The sequence below is a fragment of the Homo sapiens genome, chromosome 2, assembly GCF_000001405.40.
Source record: "Homo sapiens chromosome 2, GRCh38.p14 Primary Assembly".
NCBI lineage: Eukaryota > Metazoa > Chordata > Mammalia > Primates > Hominidae > Homo > Homo sapiens.
The window spans coordinates 223,036,393-223,057,224 of record NC_000002.12 but is presented as its reverse complement, the minus strand read 5'-3'; the positions used below and the strand labels follow the sequence as shown (position 1 = coordinate 223,057,224).

The window sequence follows — 20,832 nt, the reverse complement described above, 5'->3', positions numbered from 1 at the left end:
ATTTTCTTCAGCACAGTACACAGACTTTAAGGAAAGGGCATGAGGCAAAAGTATGCTCTGCCTGAAGCTGGAGTTTAAGTTACATTTTAAGCTCAATGTTCTGTTTGTTCCACAATGTCTACGGTCAGAGCAGCATTTTACAGGATGATAAATTACCCTCGTTTAGCTGAATCCTAGAAGTGCATGTCTGACCATGAAACCCTCCAGTTGCAGCTCTGAAAGGCACCAGGGGGTCCACTTTCCAACCAGAATCATGAGCCAAGAGCATTCATTCCTTGGCCTGACTTCAGCCTTTCCCAGTAGATTTGATCCCATGATTCTACCAGTGAAAGAAATCTTCTACTGTGTAACATCCCTGCCTGACTCTGACGTACAAAGGTGTAATTAGAACAGTGTGGAGCAGGCAGGATGATCCATTTACCTCATCCCTAACATTTAAGTGCTTTCAAAATATGTTTTTAATATCTTAGGTGCACAGGGCCAAATTATCCTCTCAGTTTTTCACATGCATGAGTAAATCCACACAGACTAAACCCCTTGGGCCTTAGGTTCTGCTTAGAAATTCTTTTTTTTTTTTAAAGAAAACAAATATCCCATTAAAACGACAAAGTGTACTCTGCATATTTTTAGGACAATTAGAGTTTAGAATTCCCTCTCCTTCCACCCATGGCTTAAAAAAATAGAAAAATTCTTAACCATTTCCTTACGAAGAACGACATTAAACTGGGACAAATGGAAAGGCTCTCTTGCCTTTTACAGCAATCTTCTCATCTTACATCATCAAAGTACCAACTGATGGATCAGGGCCCTCGATATTGTTTGGGAAGGATCCAGGCTCCACTGTACTGTTGCCAGGTAAATTTTTTAGGTAGACAGTTACTAGTGAACTGAAGGGAAACACTTACTTGAAACAGAAAAGCCAATCTCACAGGAAACAGAGAAACATAAAAGTAAGGATGCTTCCTACCATTTGCTTGATTCAAAAACAGGTCATGCAAATAAAATTATGAAGAAGAGGCTGCCGCAGGCTGGCCACGGCCTCAGCCTGTGGGCAAGAGATACAGACAGACCAAGTGGGAGGGGCTGGAATCAGTCCCAGTCTGAAGGAGACCAGGAGAGGGAGGAGAGTCAACCCCAGCCCCACACGTCGTGCTTCACTGTGTTGGTAAGTTTGTGTTGCTGTTCATACAGCAGCTCTTTGCCCATTAGCAGGTGCTGCTGGGCCACATGTGTGGATAATATTTGCCAAGCCAACATACAGGTCAAACGTTTTCTTGCAACCAAGCTTGGAGCAACATCTTAGCAGCAGTTGACCTGTCACTGCATGTTCAAAGTCCAAAGACTCCAGGGCTGCCATATTTAAACAGAGAAGTCCATGTAAGACCATCTGCAGCTTGTTTTCCATTCATTACAAAGCATTTCAAAGGATGAAAAGCCAAGCCTCATTCACCCCATGGTTCAGACAGAAATAAGATACGCCCTCAGGAGATACTGACTTGGGAGAGGAGCAAAATCCAGAGATGTCTTGGGAAACGTATCTGTGATGTCTTCGAAACTAACAATTATATTGAAAAATCAAACAAAGAATTCATGACTTCCCAGGAGGGAAAAAATGTGTTTATTTATTTAAATTAAAAAATATTGTGAAAATTACAAAGTGTTAAATACAAAAGACAATTCTATACAACTCAACAGAATAAGAAGGAAGTATATACATCACTTTTTAATAGGTGCAGAGAGACTTGCACCAAACTTCAGGATTAAGCAATGGAAAATGTGACAAGGCACATGTCCGTCGCAGTGAAATTTCAGAATTCAAGTGATTCCAGGCAAGAGGCCAAACTTAACTTGGCTTCTTTCAACTTAAACAGCCCCCTTTGGCATAAGTCCACACTGAATTTTAAAGTGAACAGAGGGCCTTTTTCCCCCAAACATAAATTTCCTTTAGCTGTATGTCAAAGCGGACTGATAAACCAGCTCCTACACTGTTAACCCTTCCATGGCAACAGTAGTTATTGCTGTGTCTCCAATCCATGCAGAGCATTTTTCTTTAAAAAAAAAAAAAGTGGCCGGGTGCAGTGGCTCATGCCTGTAATCCCAGCACTTTGGGAGGCCGAGGTGGGAGGATCATTTAAGGCCAGGAGTTTGAGACCAGCCTGGCCAAAATGGCGAAACCCCATCTCTACTAAAAATCAAAAAATTAGCTGGGCGTGGTGGCAGGCGCCTGTAATCCCAGCTACTCAGGAGGCTGAGGCAGGAGAATCGCTGAAACCCAGGAGGTGGAGGTTGCAGTGAGCCAAGATTGCACCACTGCACTCCAGCCTGGGCAACAGAGCGAGATTCTGTCTTAAAAATAAAAAATAATAATAAATAAATAATTTTTTTAAAAGTTTTTTTAAATAGATTTAAATTTGACCTTTTACTTCCTCCTTGTCTTTAAGGGCCTAACGGATCTGCGAAACTGTTGACCACAGGAATACTTGGAGACATTGGAAGCATTCCTGTGTGTTTTCCTTTAGACTTTGCTTTCCCTTAGCTGGGAGTGTTAACATCACACATTCTCCAGAGAACTTTGCAGAGGAGAATGTGGTGTCTGCCTCTTTCCTTCAGTCCTGGGAAAACTACAGCAGGGCTGGGTTGGTAGCTTGCCCTGAATTCCCCAGTTATATGTGTTCTGAATCTCCAACTGCTCCTTTAAATCAGCAGATCCTTGTTCAGACTAACCGGCCAAAGGGGAAGCATTTGGTCCAAGCTTCCTCACACCAGGCTGTGGAATATTTATCACAGAGTCCTAAAATCTAAAGACATCCTCCCAACCCCCTGGGGATGGAGATCGTCGGGAGCCTCATGCAGACAGCGAGCTTCTTGATGACATGCCCGGGACCACACAGCAAATGAGTGTCAGGGCTCGGGATCAGGAAGCACAGAACTTGGAGCCCAGCTTTGTGCAATCTCCGCCTGAGTATGCCCTTCTAGGTCTCAGCTACGTGACGAAATACCACATTATGTCCTCTCCCAGCTCAGAAAACTAGGCTGGGAAACTGAGCAGCAGCAGAGCTAACGGCTTGGCCTTGTTCAACCCCACTTTACCCCTTCTAGAAAGATCAGGAAGAGTCTCCTGAACCACCATCGGGAGTGCAGGTTAGATTCTGGGGAAGCTCTTCTGATCCAAAGAACGTCATGCCATCATGTGATGCTGCATGGTCACAGGTCAGAGTTCAAGGTCATAAGTTAGACAAAAGGTCAAAATAGAAGATCATCTCTTATAACCCCGGCCAATGTTAACAGGTTTAAAAGTTACTTTTTTTTCTTATAGTGTGCAAATGGGCTGGGTTCAGATCTCCAGCTTTCTCCCATCAAAAATCCCCCTCTAATCCAAAAGAAGCTTGTAACCCACTGTGAAGGAATGCCACAGGTACACAGTAGAGATACTTACAGCCAATCAGATCTAGAAGGACAAAGCTCTAGGCAAAATAGCAAATCACAACTAGTCTCTCAGCGTGTCCTAAGCATTCGGCAGCCCTGGGAACAGGCAGACCCTGCAGGAGCTACCCAGGGCATCCAGTGAGAAAATGGCAAACATATCATCCCGCCAAATTCTGATCAGAACCCCAACACCCAGGCCCCAAAGTCAGTGTACGCGCTGCGCATCTCCGCGGCTTTTTCAGTGGTGGGTGCAAACCACAGGCACCTCCCGGACTCCTTGGAGGTGCTGGTTCCGGCTGAGCCTAGTCCCCCACCCCACCCCGAATCAGGGGTTTACCAAGGGTCTCTTCAAAGTGGCAGCCGCACTGTGAAAGTGAAACCAGACACTTGAAAACTGTCTTTCCTCTCTCTAAGGTTGCTGGCTGATGGAGCCACCGGCAGGGGTCCCGGGGGTGCTAGGAATTCTGATGGATGTTCTCCGAGGACCCTTCGCTGCTCTCGTTGAGGGGCGTCTCCGAGGTCTCCTCCAGCTCATCGTCTGCCCCCTCCTCCTGAATGGTGAGGTGCACGTCCGGGGAGGAGGACTCGGAGCTCACGCTGTCCCCTTCCATGGAACAGAGGGTGCAGGACAGCGCGGGCGCCACGCTCTCCTGCAGCATGTTCAGCATCAGGGGCACCTGCACCGACCTCAGGCCCGACACCACAGGCAGCGGCTTCATGGCCTCCCCCCAGAGCCGCTCCTCGTCTTTGTACAGCAGCAGGAGGCTGGACTTCTTCTCCCGCCTCTTGGATTTCATGTAGCCCAGCATGATTCCGATCAAGAAAATGCCGTAGAAGGACATGACAACCAGAATGTAGAAGTACTCGTTGCCATTGCCGCTGCCGCCGCCGGCCGCACGGGACTCCAGGGGGCTGCTGGAGGCGGCGGTGCCGGGGTGCGTGCTGTTCAGAGGCTCCATTTTCAGCATTGAGGCTGCCTCCACAGCAGGGGCTGGGGAAAAAGCCGCAGGTTAGAACTCTCCCCCAGGTCCTGGGCACAGGGAGGTGGGGGAGCACGAGGTTTGTGGAACTGCAATACCAAAAAAGCTTAAAAGTGCATGAAAGAAATAGCATAAGAGGGTTCGCCAAACAGCTGACAAGAGTGAGCTATGAGGGCTTGGAGTGCACGGGAGAGAAGCCCGGGAAGGTTCACTGGGAAAAGTAAGAAGGACTTTTTTTTTTTTTTTTAGTGTACACATTTGTCCTGTTTGTAGTGAGCAGTATTACTTTGATTAAAAAAAAAATCAATGTAAGACAGGAGCATACAGTAAATAGTATCTTTAAAACTGGGAAACGTATTTTAACTGAGCAGAAACAAAGTTTACATTGTGTTTCCAAAACCAAACTATTTTAAATTCAAAACAATGTTTCCTTAGAACAAAGAAAAGCAGGAAGAAAATAAAGGAAAAAAATTCATCTATTAATTGGCAAAAATGTCCCTCTTTCAAATGTTTCTGAAAGCAAAGTGTAGCCTTGCTGACTTACCAAGGCTGACAGTTTGTCCCAAGTTTTGAATTCCCAAATCGTCCAGTCCAAGAGGGTTCTTCTGCTCTGTCCGGCTCTGCGCTCTGACAACTCCGCTGCTGCAGTTGGGATATATAGTCAAGAAGTGCATCGTCACGTGCTCTGGGAGGAAAATTTACAACAGAGATTGATCGTGGCAGAGTGAGCAGTGAACTGAAAGCACTGCAGTTCAACTCCCTGAACTTTGCAGCTGTGAAAAGTGAAAAAGACTGGGAAGTGGGAACTGCTCCTCAAGCCCCAGCACCCGGCCAGGGTTTTCAGGTAGCGGTGACGATGAGTGAAAAGAGGAGAAAGGGATGTGCTGTGCTGGAACCGTTACCCCAAAGTCCGCGCTCACTGAAAATTAGCTCATGCTTCGCGCGGCTCCTGGGGAATAACCATTATTGGGCTACAGGTTTTCAGAGGCAGCTGAATCCCATAATCTGGATGAAAGACAGTTGGAAGCAAGTGCGGGATTTACAGTCAAGGAACTGGGGCTTCGGTTTCAGTTCTTCCACTCCTTATGCAAATAAGATAAATCCTTCCTTAACCTCTCCGCACCTCACATTCCTCGTCTGTAAAATCGTTGTGCCTGGCGGGGGGGGGGGTCTTCTGCAGGTAGGATTATATAAACCACGTGACCTTTTGAGACCCTTTCAGCTTAACCCTTCTAAGATTGAAGGCTGCCTGGTGTTGCTTAGCCCTCTAAAAGCAGAGATTCTAGCTGCCTTCCACATCAAGGTCACAAACCTATGTTTATAATAATTTTTTTTTAAAAGCTCCCACATTCTTTTCAGTGGTCTGCATTAAGTGGAAACATGTTGTCGTAAAAGATACTATGGGCAGGTTTTGTTCCGTCCTGCCATACACAGCTGCTCCTCTGAAGCCTCATGCGGAGGCTATTGACACGTCTCTTTGCTGTCTCTCGTAGGTCAGGGGAGGAGCAGGACTATTTCAGAGTGCAACTAAGCACAGTTCAAGTTTTTTAAACCTCGGTAGACCCTGTGTTTAAATGGCTGCTGTGATCAAAATTGGAAGAGGAATTGCAGGCTTTAATGTCAGTCTCTCTGCTCCCTGGGCTGCTTATTCTGAGGCTTTCATGCTAAGTGGAAGGAAACTGGGAGAGATCCACTCCCTCCAGTTGTCTGTGGCCTGTGGATTGCAGCCAGACTGTCTTGTGGGCCAACTCTAAAGGAAACATCTCTCATGGTTCTGCTGTAGTCAAACTGACGCATGCGACATCCACCTGACCTGCTTGAACATATATAGCTTAGGCACTGGAATTTTCACTGCTGCTACAGGAACCCCCCTGGGTTTGCACCTGATCCTGATTCTAAGAAGACACCTGGAGGAAGAATAGGAAGATGAACTGAATGCTGCCATTTTTCCCACTTGACTACTCACCTGTGTTCATCCATAAATCCCCAGCTGGCACTGGAGGTACCAACCATCGACCACTCCAGCATCACGATCATCCATACAGTGGAACTGTGCTCACACCAGTAAAGATACCCTCACCATTGTGTTAATACGTAAAACCCTCCATAGCTACCTCAGCCATGGTAGACTTGGTCTTTTCAACAGGTGTCCATCATAAACACTAGAACACTTCCATCTATATCTAAGCCTACACTGGAATGTCTGGGACACTAGAACAAGATGGGCCCAAGAAAGAGATGCCTGTTGATTGTTGACCCTGGTATTTTTTATTGTATACCTTAGGACATACGAGATTGGTCATCATCCAGGGATTGTCCAACACCAAAGACTGGAAGCTTTGAGTAGGCAGAAAGGAGGTGGGGATAGGAGTTACCAGATTCAAGGAGCAGGAAGTACAAAGCCTGGTGCCAGGAAGCCAAACAGAGGCTGAAGTTTTAAACATAATAAATCCCCAAACCTGAGCCAACAGTCCCAAGGGAATACAACCAAGAAAAGAGATGAGTGTGGGGAAACATCGAGAATGAATTCCAAAGGACGAAGCAAGTCAGAGCCAAAGGAAAAGCAGGACTAATTGCAGGAGTCAGGGAAGGAACAGCCCAGAAGAAATTCTGGGGTGCCTGCTTGGAGTCCCTGCTGCCCCGATTCCCACATACTTCCTGCATGGATATTTCTACTAGAGTTAAACGAGGCCAACTGCAGTGTCTTAGTTCAGTAATCCCAATGCTTGAAGAGGCTGAGGTGGATGAATCACTTGAACCCAGGTGTTTGAGACCAGCGTGGGCAACACAGTGAGACCCCATCTCTACAAAAAAATACAAAAATTAACTAGGCCTGGTGGCGAGTGCCTGTAGTCCCAGCTACTTGGGAGGCTGGGGTGGGAGGATCACTCGAGACCAGGAGTTCAAGGCTGCAATGAGGTCTGAACATGCCACTACACTCCAGCCTGGGTGACAGAGCGAGATCTCTAAATAAATAGAATAGAATAGAATAGAATAGAATAGAATAGAACAGAACAGAATAAAATAGTTCAATGAAATGATGCAAAGAAAGCACCATGTCTGGCCAAATGCACATGCTCAGTGCCTGTGTTTAGTTGTCATTGTTAGGAGTACGCTGTTGCTCCCAAGGGCTTCAGGTTGCCTCCTGTCATGTGTGTGCCCATCTCCAGACTTTTAACTCCAGACTTTTTATCACTGCTCCTTCCCCTGTCTGTCACTCCCAGGAATGGAATTTAAGAGAAGGGAATTCCAACTTCAAAATGCATAGCTCAATCTTCTTCCCAGCCCTCACTCATGACAGGGATTGCGAGAATGATGGCACTGAATAATGGCATAAAGAATGAGGGAGAGAGGGTACATCTAGAAAGTGCACTCTGTCGGGAGAGGATGGGACTGCACAAGAATTATTAATTATATCTACCCCGGGCCTCAGTTTTAGGAGACAGCAATGTTAAAGAAATAAATCAATTTCGGCTAGCATTTCCATTTCCTGAACAGTGTCTTTTCAGGAGCAAACATATCTAATTCTGATGAAGTCCAATTTATTTTAAATGTTTTTGGTTGTGCTGTTTGAATCCTATCAAAGAAATATTTGCTTAACCCAGTCATGAGGATTTTCTCCTGTTTTGCTTCTAGAAGTTTTATGGTTTCAGCCTTACATTTAGGTCTATGATACATTTCAAGTTAATTTTAGTCTAAAATGTAAGATATAGGTCAAGGATTTTGGGGAGGGGTTGTTTGTTTTTGTTTTGCTTATGGATGTCCAATTGCTCCAGCATCATTTGTTGAAAAGACTCCTTTTCCTATTTAAAATTATCTTGGAAACTTTGTTGAAAATCAATTAACCTTATATAAGCAGGTCTATTTCTTAACTCTTCATTCTGTTCCTTTGATCTATCTGTCTATCTTTGCATCGATATTATTCTGTTTTGATAAATCCATTTTAAACTTGTATTTTAAATGAGTCTAAGATACACTGCAGTTCAAATCTAGCTTAGTGTCTATCATATACCAAGTACACATAAGTCCTGTGAGGTCAGGTATTATTACAACCATTTCATAGATAAGGAAACTGAAAGTCAAAGAGTCAAAGAGGCAAAGTTGCTCCAGGTCAAATCACTAGCAGTACAGTCAGTACTTGACCCCAGATCTATGCAACTCCAAAACCCATTCTTTTTCCACTACCTTTTGTCTCACTGAATGGAAAACAAAAAGAAACTGAGAAAGAGTAGGAAGTGAAAGATGGACATTTTTCCAACTTCTTTTGAGTCTTCATAAAACTTTTTTTTTAAAAAAAATGTGAATTCTGACATAACTAGATACTCACACATAAATACACACGTGGAACTACAAGTTGTCTTTTTCTGAATTCATATTATTTTAAGTACTGGAGGCTGCACCAACCTCAGCATGTTCTAGAAGTTATCAGTGAAGCAGTAATACTCTTACCGTATACCTATGTTGTCCATAGTACAGTAGTTTCTCTGCCTACATATACAGCCTGATATGGTTTGGCTCTGTGTCCCCACCCAAATCTCACCTCGAATTGTAATCCTCACGTGTCAAAGGTGGGACCAGGTGGAGGTAATTGAATCATGGGGGCTGTTTCCCCCATGCTGCTCTCATGATAGTGACTGAGTCTCACGAGACCTGATGGTTTTATAAGCGTCTGGCATTTCCTTTGCTTGCACGCACTCCATCCTGCCACCCTGTAAAGAAGGTACCTGCTTCTCCTTTGCCTTCCGCCATGACTGTAAGTTTCCTGAGGCCTTCCCAGCAATACAGAACTGTGAGTCAGTGAAACCTCTTTCCTTTATGAATTACCCAGTCTCAGGTATGTCTTTATTAGCGATGTGAGAACAGACTAACATAAGCCTGTTCTGGTCTTCTTGTTTTAATGTGGGTTTTTTTGTTTGTTTGTTTGTTTGTTTTTTCCTATTTGATCCTGACACACACTTTCTCTAGAGCTTTGAGTACTTTCATTTCCTGGTAACGTCATTTTTACCAGATGACCCAGGAGTCCCTGGCCACACATCTCTGAAATTATGTTAACAGCTTCTGTGACTAAACAAAGTCTATGCTGGGATAACAGCATGGCTGTGAATCTCATCGGATTAAACGTAAGTCTGGAGTCCAGAAATCTGACCCAGCTCAGCCTTGCTGATGCTACGTGACTGGCTGGGTTGCATAATTGCTCTGTGTTTCAGTTTTAGCCACCCTCAGGCATGTCAAAAGTAGCATCATTAATTGTCTCAGGATCCTGAGAAATCTCCCATAATCCACTGGGCTGTCCCCCTCCTGAGCAGACCAGGCTTTGGGTCTGGCAGAATATTGCAAAATGAAATCCTCAGTGCCCACCACTGGTTTTGCTTTTCCCAGAAATTCTGTCTGAAAAGTTCTGTCTGGGAACTCGAGCAGTGGATCATCCCTTCTAATGCCCTGAGTCACCCTCCCTGGACACATACTTTTTAGCATTCCTATCACTAGAAATAAAACAGGGCTGGATATCTGACAGGTCCTTAGTAAGGTCCCCAGGCCCTCCCTGTAACACCAGCTATGCTGTGGAGGATGTGGCTATCAGCAGGTCCTGCTTAGATATCACCCAAAGGGGGTTAAGAGGGAAGAACCAGAACTCCTAAAATTAACAGTGAAGTTGGTATTAATTCACCTTTGTTATGTATTATTCAAGCATTTTTAACCTGATATTTATTTAACAAATACTTGCATAGTACCTAAAAGTGCCTCAGGAATTGCTGTAAGTACTTTGCAAAGTTTATCTTATTTAATTCTCATAAAAAGCCCTTGAGATAGGCTCTGTTATTATCCCCATTATACAATAAGGAAACTGAAGCAGAGAATGCTGGAGCAGCCTGCCCCAGATCACACAGCTAGTACATGGCAGAGCTGGCATTGGAACCCAGAGCTGAAAAAAGAGAAGGGAAAGAAAAAAAAGAGAGAAGAAAAACATTGCCTCTGCCTCTATAGACCTTACCATTGGTGAGGGAGGCAGACAAGAATCCCAAAATTGTGTGTTTAAAGTTGCAAGAATGACAAATATTGCAAAAGAGAAAGGATGCTAGGAAAGTTAATATTAAGGGGATTGAATTCCTTAGAGAAATCAGGGAGGACCCCCTAGAGGAAGTGATCCTTGAGTTGGGATCTGAAGATTGAGCAGGAATTAGCCCAGATGAAGTGAGAAGGTAAGAGAATTCTGGCCAACGGTAATCTGTGGAAAGATCCTTCGGAGGAAGAAAGTGGGGAGGGAAGAGAGATGGCAAGAATGAGGAACTAAAAAGTCTATGGGGACTCTGTCAAGGAACAAAAAGGAACCTGGTAGAAGATGCAGCAGGAGAGGCCAGCATGGGCCAGAAATGTGCCACCTGGGAGCATGAGGACAGGAGACCAAGGAAGTAAAAGATAGATTCCTGCTTTGAAGAGCTCAAGTACCAACTGGGGAGACAACCCCAAGGCCTGGGGCGAGTGTGTGATCATTCAGGACTGACTGAATGCATGATCGCTGAGCACATGCAAAGAACAAACTAAGAGCATACATGCCTGTGCACAGTTAGCACCAAGGAAACCAGAGTGAGGAGTTGACTGACTTAATGAGTGTGTTTGTGAATAACCGTGGGAACACAGACTTTGCTTCCAAGATTCTTATCAAGAGTTCCAGACAGGCCAGGCGCGGTGGCCCACGCCTATAATCCCAGCACTTTGGGAGTCCGAGGTGGGCGGATCACGAGGTCAGGAGATCGAGACCATCCCGACTAATACGGTGAAACCCCGTCTCTACTTAAAAAATGCAAAAAAATTAGCCAGGTGTAGTGGCAGGTGCCTGTAGTCCCAGCTACTCGGGAGGCTGAGGCAGGAGAATGGCGTGAACCTGGGAGGCGGAGCTTGCAGTGAGCGGAGATCGCACCACTGCACTCCAGCCTGGGCCACAGAGTGAGATTCGGTCTCAAAAAAAAATAAAAAATAAAAAATAAAAAAAAAGAGTTCCAGACAATTAAACTAAAGCTCTTGAATGTATCTCAACCACATTTCTCAAGAGCTATCAGTGGTGTGCTTAGAGTAATTCCTGAAACTTTGACAAGGTGACACAGAACTCCCAGAAGCAATAAGACAAATCAACATGTCAGTGAGTGTAGTTTTAAAAGATGGGCTTAAAAGTACGCAGATGGCAAATCCAAGTGTCAGGAACTCAGATCAGATGATGGTACAGCATATAGTTTAAGGGCACAGGCTCTGTGGTCAGGCTGCCTAGGCCTGTCTTGGTTCTTCCTACTAGCTGTGTGACCATGGGCACATTTCTTAACCTCTCTGTGCCTCTCTTAAAGAGGCATAAGAGTATCTATCTCATAAGGTTGTTGTGAGGAAGAAATAGAATTATCCACTATTGCACCTTCTGTTTAGACTGAGCGCCAAGACAAAAATACAAAAGGTTTGAGCCCCTTTCCCACATGAAGAGTGTTTTTTAAAAATTAAAAGTAGAGGATTTTTAAGAAAGAGTCATTGATGTTTTCTCTTCCCCTTCCTGGGGAAGATGTGGGGAATGGGCTGCTTTCTTCTCAAGTTAAGGGAAGTGAGGGGGTGCTTCACAGAGATCACTTGAGAGTCTCAGTGGTCTCTGTGGCCTGTAACCTGCTGGACACAGAGGACTGGGATCAGAACCACACCTAGAAAAATTTGAAGGGCAAGAAACCATGTCTGGCCAGAACTCTGGGGAGAGCTTGCTGAGTTAGGAATGCCCATGCTCCCAGGATTTTTTTTTCCTTTGGGGCGGGGTAGGGAGGGTGGGTGTTTTTTGTTTTTTGTTTTTTGTTTTTTTTGAGATGGAGTTTTGCTCTCGTTGTCCAGGCTGGAGTGCAATGGCACAATCTCGGCTCACTGCAACCTCCACCTCCTGGGTTCAAGCGATTCTCCTGCCTCAGCCTTCAGAGTGACTGGGATTACAGGCACCTGCCACCACACCCGGCTAATTTTTGTATTTTTAGTAGAGACGGAGTTTCACCATGTTGGTCAGGCTGGTCTCGAACTCCTGCCCGCCTTGGCCTCCCAAAGTGCTGGGATTACACGCGTGAGCCACTGCGCCCAGCCGTTCCCAGGGCTTTTAAAGGAAAAGACAGGAGAGTGTTTCCTATAGGCCAGTGGCAGGCGATGCAGGAATGCAGGAGGGAGACACAGACCTGGGCTACATGTTGGTTGGTTCCTGCCCAAGGCAGCCAGGAGCGGGGTGGGAAGTCATGGCCCTGCCCACCAATGACTTCCAGCCTACCCAAGGCCCAAGCAGTGGGAGAAAGAAGAGAAGCAGGCTTCACTCTAAATAAACTTGAGAAGTTACGACCCTCCCATAGGCCTGGACATACAAATTACTGTACTGAGACTATTCAGGGAGACTAGAGAAACCAGGGGGGGTTTCTTACTTAAGAGTAACTAGAAAAGTTGTGAGTCTGCCCCAGATTTTCATCACAGGGCAGGGGACTAGCTGGCCCTAGAGAATGAGTCTGAGGAAGTACTGGGACTCAGAGATAAGGTGGCTTTAGGATGACACCCTATAAGCCCTGCTTGTTTATTGTAACAAATGCGTATGTAAAAGCTTGGAACTGTGCCAAGCACACAGCCAGTGTTCAGTTTTCACCAGTATTAAACAATGTTTAAAAAATGCAAAAACACAATATTCAGGAGGACAGGAGACCAAGGAGGCAGAAGATAAGTCCCCGCCTTAAAGAGGGATGATCTAGCTTAAATTTAGGTTTAGGACCAAAAGTGACTATTTGCTATTTTATTCCCAGCAACTGGAATGGTACTTGGCCTATAGCAGACCTTCCAAAAAAGATCCGTTGACTGAATAACAGAGAGAATGTGCTAAACATTCATTATAGACTTTTTAATTTAACTTTTAATTTCACAAAAGCCCAATGTGGGTGATTATGAACAGAATTTTGTGAGTGTGGAGAATGAGGCCAGAAAAGTAACTTGTCCATCTTGTCCTGGTCACACAGCAGGACGAAGCAAAACTGGAATAGACCGTCCCACCTCCTGTTGAAATCATGCCAGACACATACTCCATTTCTAGATGCACGATGCTCAGCTGCTAGCCACTTCCTCTGGCCCCAACTAATCGAGAGGTCAGGACAGAAAGAAGATGTTGAGGAAGTGCTTCAGGGGTTCCAGCTCAGGAGGGCAGAACCGACACTCTTATTTAAAAACAGTGTTTCGAAGCCTTGAAAAGGTCTTCCAAAACCTTTTAAGTACCAGATGATAAGGCAGGACCCAATCAAAAGGAATGTCCACTTAGCTCTGACTTCTGCACTTTCCAAAGGCAGTTGGTTCTAAAGAAGGACTTAGGGATTTCAAGAGCATTTCATAGCTTGAGTTGCCCTTGCACAAATACAGACTAAATTATGGATGGCAGGAAGTGGGGCAGGAAGTGGGGGTCTCCTTTTCTCTAGTGACTGGCTTCCTGTTGCAGCAATTTCCCATCGTGTTTCTCCATTTGGTCTCCCTCTAGAGACAGAGCTGAGGTCTATAGCACAGTGTAGCCCAAGACTATGAGGAATCTCTATTTTGCCACAACTAGAGTTCTCAGGATCATCCTAGCTAGGCAAAAAGAATGGGCAACTCATCAAGAAAGCTCACTCTATCAACAGCATGCAGGCAAAATTTGCCTGACAGGTACTGAATGAATAAATCAAAGCTGGTTCTTCACATACCAGGGAGGCAATTGTGAAAAGTGGCACACAGCTGCCCACAGTGAACGAGAAACAAAGGAGGCCTGGACACAGGGAGGCTGAGGCTGATACCCAAGGCTATGCTGAGAAAGCAAGTGTTCCTTCTGTGCTCAATAAATAATTGAGACTTGCACAGAAATACTAATGTCAGAAATGCTGATTCATGCTGAGTAGTGAGCATAAGGAGAAGTGAATGGTCCCTGCTTCTGCCTGGGGGGTTCCTGTGGAGTGAGGAAGCCACATGGTAAGCTGATCATTGGTCATTAGTCAGGTAGACTCATACCTATGTGTCTCAGATTAATATTTCAAAGAATTTCAGCCAAACCCATCAGGGTACTGACCTCATGCTCTGCCATGTTTAACCTAATTAATGACATATTCATTTGGCCTATACTGGTTTATTTATTCATTTGTTGATTCATTTATTCAAATAAACACACCTGTCCTGCAACCTAAACCAATAGATATTTTATAAAGCTAAAGGATCAAAACAACAAAAAGATGATTGCAAAGAAAGTATGTCAAGCCAGGTGTGGTGGCTCCCACCTGTAATCCCAGCACTTTGGGAGGCTGAGTGGGGTGGATTACTTGAGGCCAGGCATTCGAGACCAGCTTGGCCAACATGGCAAAACCCTCTCGCTACTAAAAATACAAAACTTAGCTGGGTGCAGTGGTGTGTGCCTGTAATCCCAGCTACTAGGGTGGCTGAGGCAGGAGAATCACTTGGATCTGGGAGGTGGAAGTTGCAATTAGCAGAGATCACATCACTGCACTCCAGCCTGGGTGACAGAGAGACTCCATAAGGAAGAAAGGAAGACAGGAAGAGAGAAAGAGAGAGAGAGACAGAGAGAGAGAAAGAAAAAGAAGAAAGAAAGAAGAAAAGAAAGAAAGAAAGAGAGAGAGGAAGAAAGAAAGAAAGAAAGAAAGAAAGAAAGAAAGAAAGAAAGAAAGAAAGAAAGAAAGAAAGAAAGAGAGAGAGAGAGGGAGGGAGGGAGGGAGGGAGGGAGGAAGGAAGGAAGGAAGGAAAGAAAGAAAAAGAAAGAAAGAAAGAAAGAGAAAAACAAAGAAAGAAAGAAAAAGAAAGACAGACGGGAGGGAGGGAGGGAGGGAAGAAGGAAGGAAGGAAGGAAGGAAGGAAGGAAGGAAGGGAGAAAGAAAGAAAATAAGTCAAATAAAATAAAAATTAGCATTGCACAGCAGAGGCTGATGTTGGGGCTTTGTCAGATCCTAGCTTCTTGGCTGAATGATACTGGGCTCCTCTTTGAAAAGGACCAAATATTTGTCTACAACAAATCACACACCAAGCCCCTGGCAGTGAGACCCAGGACTGCCACCTCCTCCCAGCACTGGATCACCGTGGCGTGAGAGCCGTCATGTTCAGCCTGCTCTGACTGCATGACTCATAACACAGGCCCAACCCACAGAAATCCTGGCCCCTTCATGCAAGTCTCCTGGGAAAGGAACTTCTGAGGATTTTTAAATAAGAAAAAAAAAAAACTCTGGGGCTCATTTGAAACTGTGCATACTCTATACCTTTGCTCTTATCTCTGGCCATTTGTATTTCTTCTTTGAAGAAACATCTATTCAAGTCCTTTGCCTATTTTTCAGTTGGTTTGTTTGTCATTTTATTGTTGTGTTATAAGAATTCCCTATTTATTCTGGATACTAAATTCTCTATATATGCTGGATACTAAATCATTCTGGATGATTGGCAACATTTTTTCCCGTTCTGAGTTGTCTTTTCATGTTCTTGATAGTGTCCTTTGATGCATAAAAGTTTCTAATTTTGATGAAGGCCAGTTTATCTCTTTTTTCTTTTGTTGCTGTGCTTTTGGTGTCATAACTAAGAAATTGTTGCCCATAATTTATACCTATGTTTCCTTCTAAAGTTGTAGCTCTTCCATTTAGTTTCTTGATCCATTTTGAGCTAAAGTTTCATGTGTGATGTGAGGTAGAGGTCCAAATTTATTTTCTACATGTGGGTATCCAATTGTCCCCACACCATTTGTTGAAAAGATTATTCTTTCCCTATTGAATGGCCTTGGTATTCTTGTGGAAAATCAATTGACCATAGATATATGGGTTTATTTCTGGACTCTCAATTCTATTCCATTGATCTATATGTCTAGCCTTATTTCAGTACCACACTGTTTTGAATACTGCACCTTGCACTAAGCTTTGAAATCAGAAAGCATAAGTCATCCAACTTTATTTCTCCTTTTCAAGATTGTCTTGGCTATTTTTTTAAAAAGGGCAGTTGGAAGTTTGATACCAATTGCATTGAGTCTGTAGATCAAATCTAGGAGTGTTGCCATCTTAACAATATCGAGTCTCCCAATCCATGAACACAGAATGACTTTGCATTTGCCTTATCTTCCTTAGTTTCTTTCAGGAGCATTTTTGTAGTTTTTAGTGTACAAGCCTTGTACCTCATTTGGTAAATACATCCTGTAAACCAAAAAGTATCTGAGACAGATCTCAATCAATTTAGAGGTTTATTTTGCCAAGGTAACGTACACATGCCTGGGAGACAGGTCTGTGTCGTTCTTTAAAAATTATTTTTAGGGCTTCAATATTTAGAGGGGAAAAGCAGGCTAAAGATGAAAGAAGGAGAGTACGGTCATATTACTGAAACCACATGTTGCAAGAGACAAGGAGCAGGTAGGAGAATAGTCAATTATGTATTTGTCTTGCACTCATGATAAGGTGAACATAGCGTTGCTACCTGTGGAGATATTTAACTTTTATCTGCAGCTATCTGCTTAGGAACAAAAGGAAAGGCAGCTTCTTGCATGACTCAGATTTCAGCTTAATTTTTTTTCTTTTGGCATAGTGAATTGGGGTCCCAACTTTTTATTTTCCTTTCACAATCCCTAAGCATTTTAATTTTTTTGATGCTATGATAAATGCAATTGCTTTCTTAATTTTACTTCCAGATTGTTCATTGCTAGTATATGGAAATACAATTGATTTTGTACATTATTCTTATATCCTGCAACCATGTTGAACTTGTTTATTAGTGTTAATAATATTTTAGTGGATTCTTTAAATTTTTCTCTATATAAGATCATGCCCTCTATATAAGATCATGTCATCTATATAAGATCTAGTAGAAACAGTTTTACTTTTACTTTTCAATCTAGATGATTTTCTTTCCTTTTCTTGCTAAATGTTGTTTATTTGTTTAATTACTTTTCTGAACTAATTCTGTATTGTCTACATTCTTTCTCATGTGTGGCCACTGAAGTCTCTACTCAGTTTAACGACCAGATGATGACTAGACAGAAATTTATTTCTCTTAAACTTCTGGAACCAATAAATCTCCTAGTCTTTACCATGGAGCTCAATTTACATGTTCAGCCATACTTTCTTTTTTTTTTTTTTTTTATTTTTTATTTTTATTTTTTTTTATTATACTCTAAGTTTTAGGGTACATGTGCACATTGTGCAGGTTAGTTACATATGTATACATGTGCCATGCTGGTGCGCTGCACCCACTAACGTGTCATCTAGCATTAGGTATATCTCCCAATGCTATCCCTCCCCCCTCCCCCGACCCCACCACAGTCCCCAGAGTGTGATATTCCCCTTCCTGTGTCCATGTGATCTCATTGTTCAATTCCCACCTATGAGTGAGAATATGCGGTGTTTGGTTTTTTGTTCTTGCGATAGTTTACTGAGAATGATGGTTTCCAATTTCATCCATGTCCCTACAAAGGACATGAACTCATCATTTTTTATTCAGCCATACTTTCAACACTCCGATAGCTAGTTTACAACTCTATGTTAGCCTTCACTTCCCCCTTGCACAGAGCCTTAAGGTCAGCCAGGGGTGAGAGAATAGGTCCTATTGAGGTCTTTCCTGAGTATGCACACACCTTTCTAAATGTGTGTGCCTTTCTGGATTCCCTGGAATATGTCAAAGCTCTTCAAAGTCCCAGTGAACATCTCATTCCTCAGTTTTATTCTTTTTTAAGCTTTGGTTTTTGTTTTCCTTGTAAGTTTATTGTTTGTCCCAGCAGCTATCCATTGCCTCACAGAGTTTATCAATTACCCCTAATTGTTTTCAACAGGGGTCCCTGGGTAAAATGCTTTTCTCACTGGACAAGCTCAAGTCAAGCAAACAAAGACAGCCTTGTAAGCAGCATCCTCCAGGAAACTACCATAAAGGTAAAATAGTGACAATTCTGTGGGAATGAGGCTTTGAAGGAATTCCAGGCCCACTCTCCTCTCCCACGGGTGGCTGCCAGACTGCTAGATTTCAGTGTAATCTCATTTTCAGGCTGTGAATTTTCTTTTTTTTAATTGATGAAAAGATATTTATTGAGCATTTTCTAGATACAAAGCACTTTGGTATATACTATGAAGGAAGAATAAGAAATAGTCCCTAGCCTCAAAGTCCTTCAACTGAGATGAGGATATAGCTAAATAATTGGCTAGCTGTAATACAAAGGAAATTAAAATAAATATTAAAGTCAGGTCATAAGCCACCCTCTAAAGAACTGCATGTCCAGGGGATGGATTAGCAAGGACTTCATGAGCAAGTTGCATTTAGGTTCAGGCTGTGAATTTTCAAAGCTACTGCAGAGCTGGAGGCAGAGATGGGAACAGAGCAGCGTAAAACACCATAAAGCTTATTGTTCTGAGATTTAGCCTTTTTTTAAAAATAAACACCCCCAAGTTTCTACAAACCTTTAATTTAAAGTTCCAAAAATTGTTGGTTCTGATATTTTATGTCTGTTTTCTTGTTGCTTTTATGAAGGAGATAATTTTCAGAAGTCCTTGCTCTGCCATGTTCTTTGACATCATTTCCACCTGGCATTTGCTATAGACCATTGCATGGTGGTCAGAGCTTGAACTCTGGCAGCTAGACTGCCTGGGTTCAAATCCTAGTTCTACCGGTTACTGGCTGTGTCACCATAATCAAGTTTCTCATCATCTCTGTGCCCCAGTCTCCTTCTCTATGAAGTAGAGATGGTAATACTCCTATATATACTGCGTAAGATTGCCACGAGGATTAAAATACTTAATACATGTAAAACCGTAGTACAAGGCCTGGCTTATAGTAACTACTCAATAAATTCTGATTACTGCTGCTATTATTGTTATCATTTCATTTCCGTAAACATGGCTGGGGGAGGGGTTATTATCCTAGCCATTTGACAAAACAATAAAGGGGGGCAGAAAGAGGCTAAGAAACTTGCCAGGGATCACATAGCTGGAAGTCCTGACTGTGCTGCTATAAAGCAAGATGCAAGGTGACTCCAAGTTTATGCCCACATATGCCACTGGCCAGCCATAAAGGAAGTCAGGGCCTAAACGCAAAAATAACAAATTGTGATTCCAAGAGCCAGAGACTCCCATCACACCTCCCTTTTTTCTCTATACTCAGCAGAGAAGGAAGAGCAAAAGGCTGTGTTGAAACAACCTTTGCAAAACTATAATTGAGGAAATTATGACAGTGAAAGAAATCAGACCTAACTGACTCCATCTTGCTTCTAACCTTTAGGCTGTCCTGTTCATTCCTGGGCATAGGCCAAACTAACTTTGGGAAGGAATTCAGTTCGTGATTTTGCTCTGAAACAAAACTGATAACAGCCTTATTCTTAAAAGATCCCCTTCTTCCTGGGGACCAGTCTGCCTTTGCAGGACTAACAAATTAGCTACAAGATTAGAAATTACAGTTTAGGGGTTGGGCAGTCTCTGGTCTCAAGAGTCTGAACCTCCCCAGATTGCTCCTAGGGATTCTACATCACTATTGTAAAACCTAAGATCAGTGCTTGGGATATTGTGCAGACCCTGCACTGGATGGATCAGCTGACACCACCCAGACCTGAAATCTGGCTCAACCAGTTCTGCCATCCCACCCAGGAACAGAAGGCAGCAAGAAAAACTCACTTCGACCCCCTGTGATTCCATCTCCAAGCTGACCAATCAGCACTCCCCACTTCCCAAGCCCCTACCCTCCAAATTATCTTTAAAAACCCTAATCCCTGAATAATCAGGAAGACTGATTTGAGTAATAATAAAACTCTGGTCTCCCGCACAGCCAACTCTGCATGAATTACTCTTTCTTCATTGCAATTCCCCTGTCTTGATAAATTGGCTCTGTTTAGGCAGTGGGCAAGGTGAACCCACTGGGTGGCTACAATATGTGCATATGGTACAAAGGAAATCCTAGGGAGAGCCAATAAAGGGAAAAGTGCAAATGAAGAAAGGGCTCCAAAGAGTACCAATCAGTGAGGGGAAAATATGTTTTTCTCCGTATTGATTTTCACCTCACTTTCCCCTGGGAGGAAAAAGACTCCCTCATCAGTTCCAATTTATATTATACTTGTAATTCGTATTTATGTTGCCTGCTTTCTAGAGTCTGGGGCATCCAAGTGACATGGCCCACCACTCCAAACTTGCCTTGCCTCAATGAAGAGCCCCAGCAGGGAGTGCAAAACCCTTGCAGGCAACTCCCAACCTCTGCCCCTCCCTCCCTTTGCCCTACACAGTTCCATTTAACAAACAAATATTGAACATTCTCTCTGGGCAAAGGACACTGCACCCCTAAAAGGATTCTTCATTGATAGAAGGGAGTCCAAAGATAAGAAGCAGTCTCCAGCCTCAAGAATGTAAAAACCAAGTATGGAAATGAGAAAAGGGCTCAAGCCAGTAGAGGGCCATTAACTCCAAGGACCATCAATGAG

At 43.6% G+C, this 20,832-nt stretch overlaps 1 protein-coding gene across 1 annotated transcript, besides 2 other annotated features; it reads right to left on the bottom strand.

The window, feature by feature from the left end:
* Nucleotides 1-1,587: 1,587 nt before the first annotated feature.
* Nucleotides 1,588-5,035, bottom strand: KCNE4 (potassium voltage-gated channel subfamily E regulatory subunit 4). Its single transcript, NM_080671.4, has 2 exons — nt 4,951-5,035; nt 1,588-4,417 (listed from the first exon to the last, which is right to left on the bottom strand). The coding sequence occupies exon 2, from the start codon at nt 4,392-4,394 to the stop codon at nt 3,882-3,884; it is 513 nt and encodes a 170-aa protein (NP_542402.4). The 5' UTR covers nt 4,395-4,417; nt 4,951-5,035; the 3' UTR covers nt 1,588-3,881.
* Nucleotides 4,180-4,727: an enhancer, noted in NCBI's record as "H3K27ac-H3K4me1 hESC enhancer chr2:223917216-223917763 (GRCh37/hg19 assembly coordinates)". NCBI's record gives its function as "activates a minimal SCP1, AML or CMV promoter by ChIP-STARR-seq in naive H9 embryonic stem cells {active_cell/tissue: H9 hESC(naive)}" and the evidence as "EXISTENCE:reporter gene assay evidence [ECO:0000049][PMID:30033119]".
* Nucleotides 8,380-8,439: an enhancer, noted in NCBI's record as "active region_17171". NCBI's record gives its function as "activates an Ori minimal core promoter by ATAC-STARR-seq in GM12878 lymphoblastoid cells {active_cell/tissue: GM12878}" and the evidence as "EXISTENCE:reporter gene assay evidence [ECO:0000049][PMID:35858748]".

Excerpts from the sequence above, each read along its gene's own strand:
- KCNE4 (NM_080671.4), bottom strand. The coding sequence starts at position 4,394 with ATGCTGAAAATGGAGCCTCTGAACAGCACGCACCCCGGCACCGCCGCC.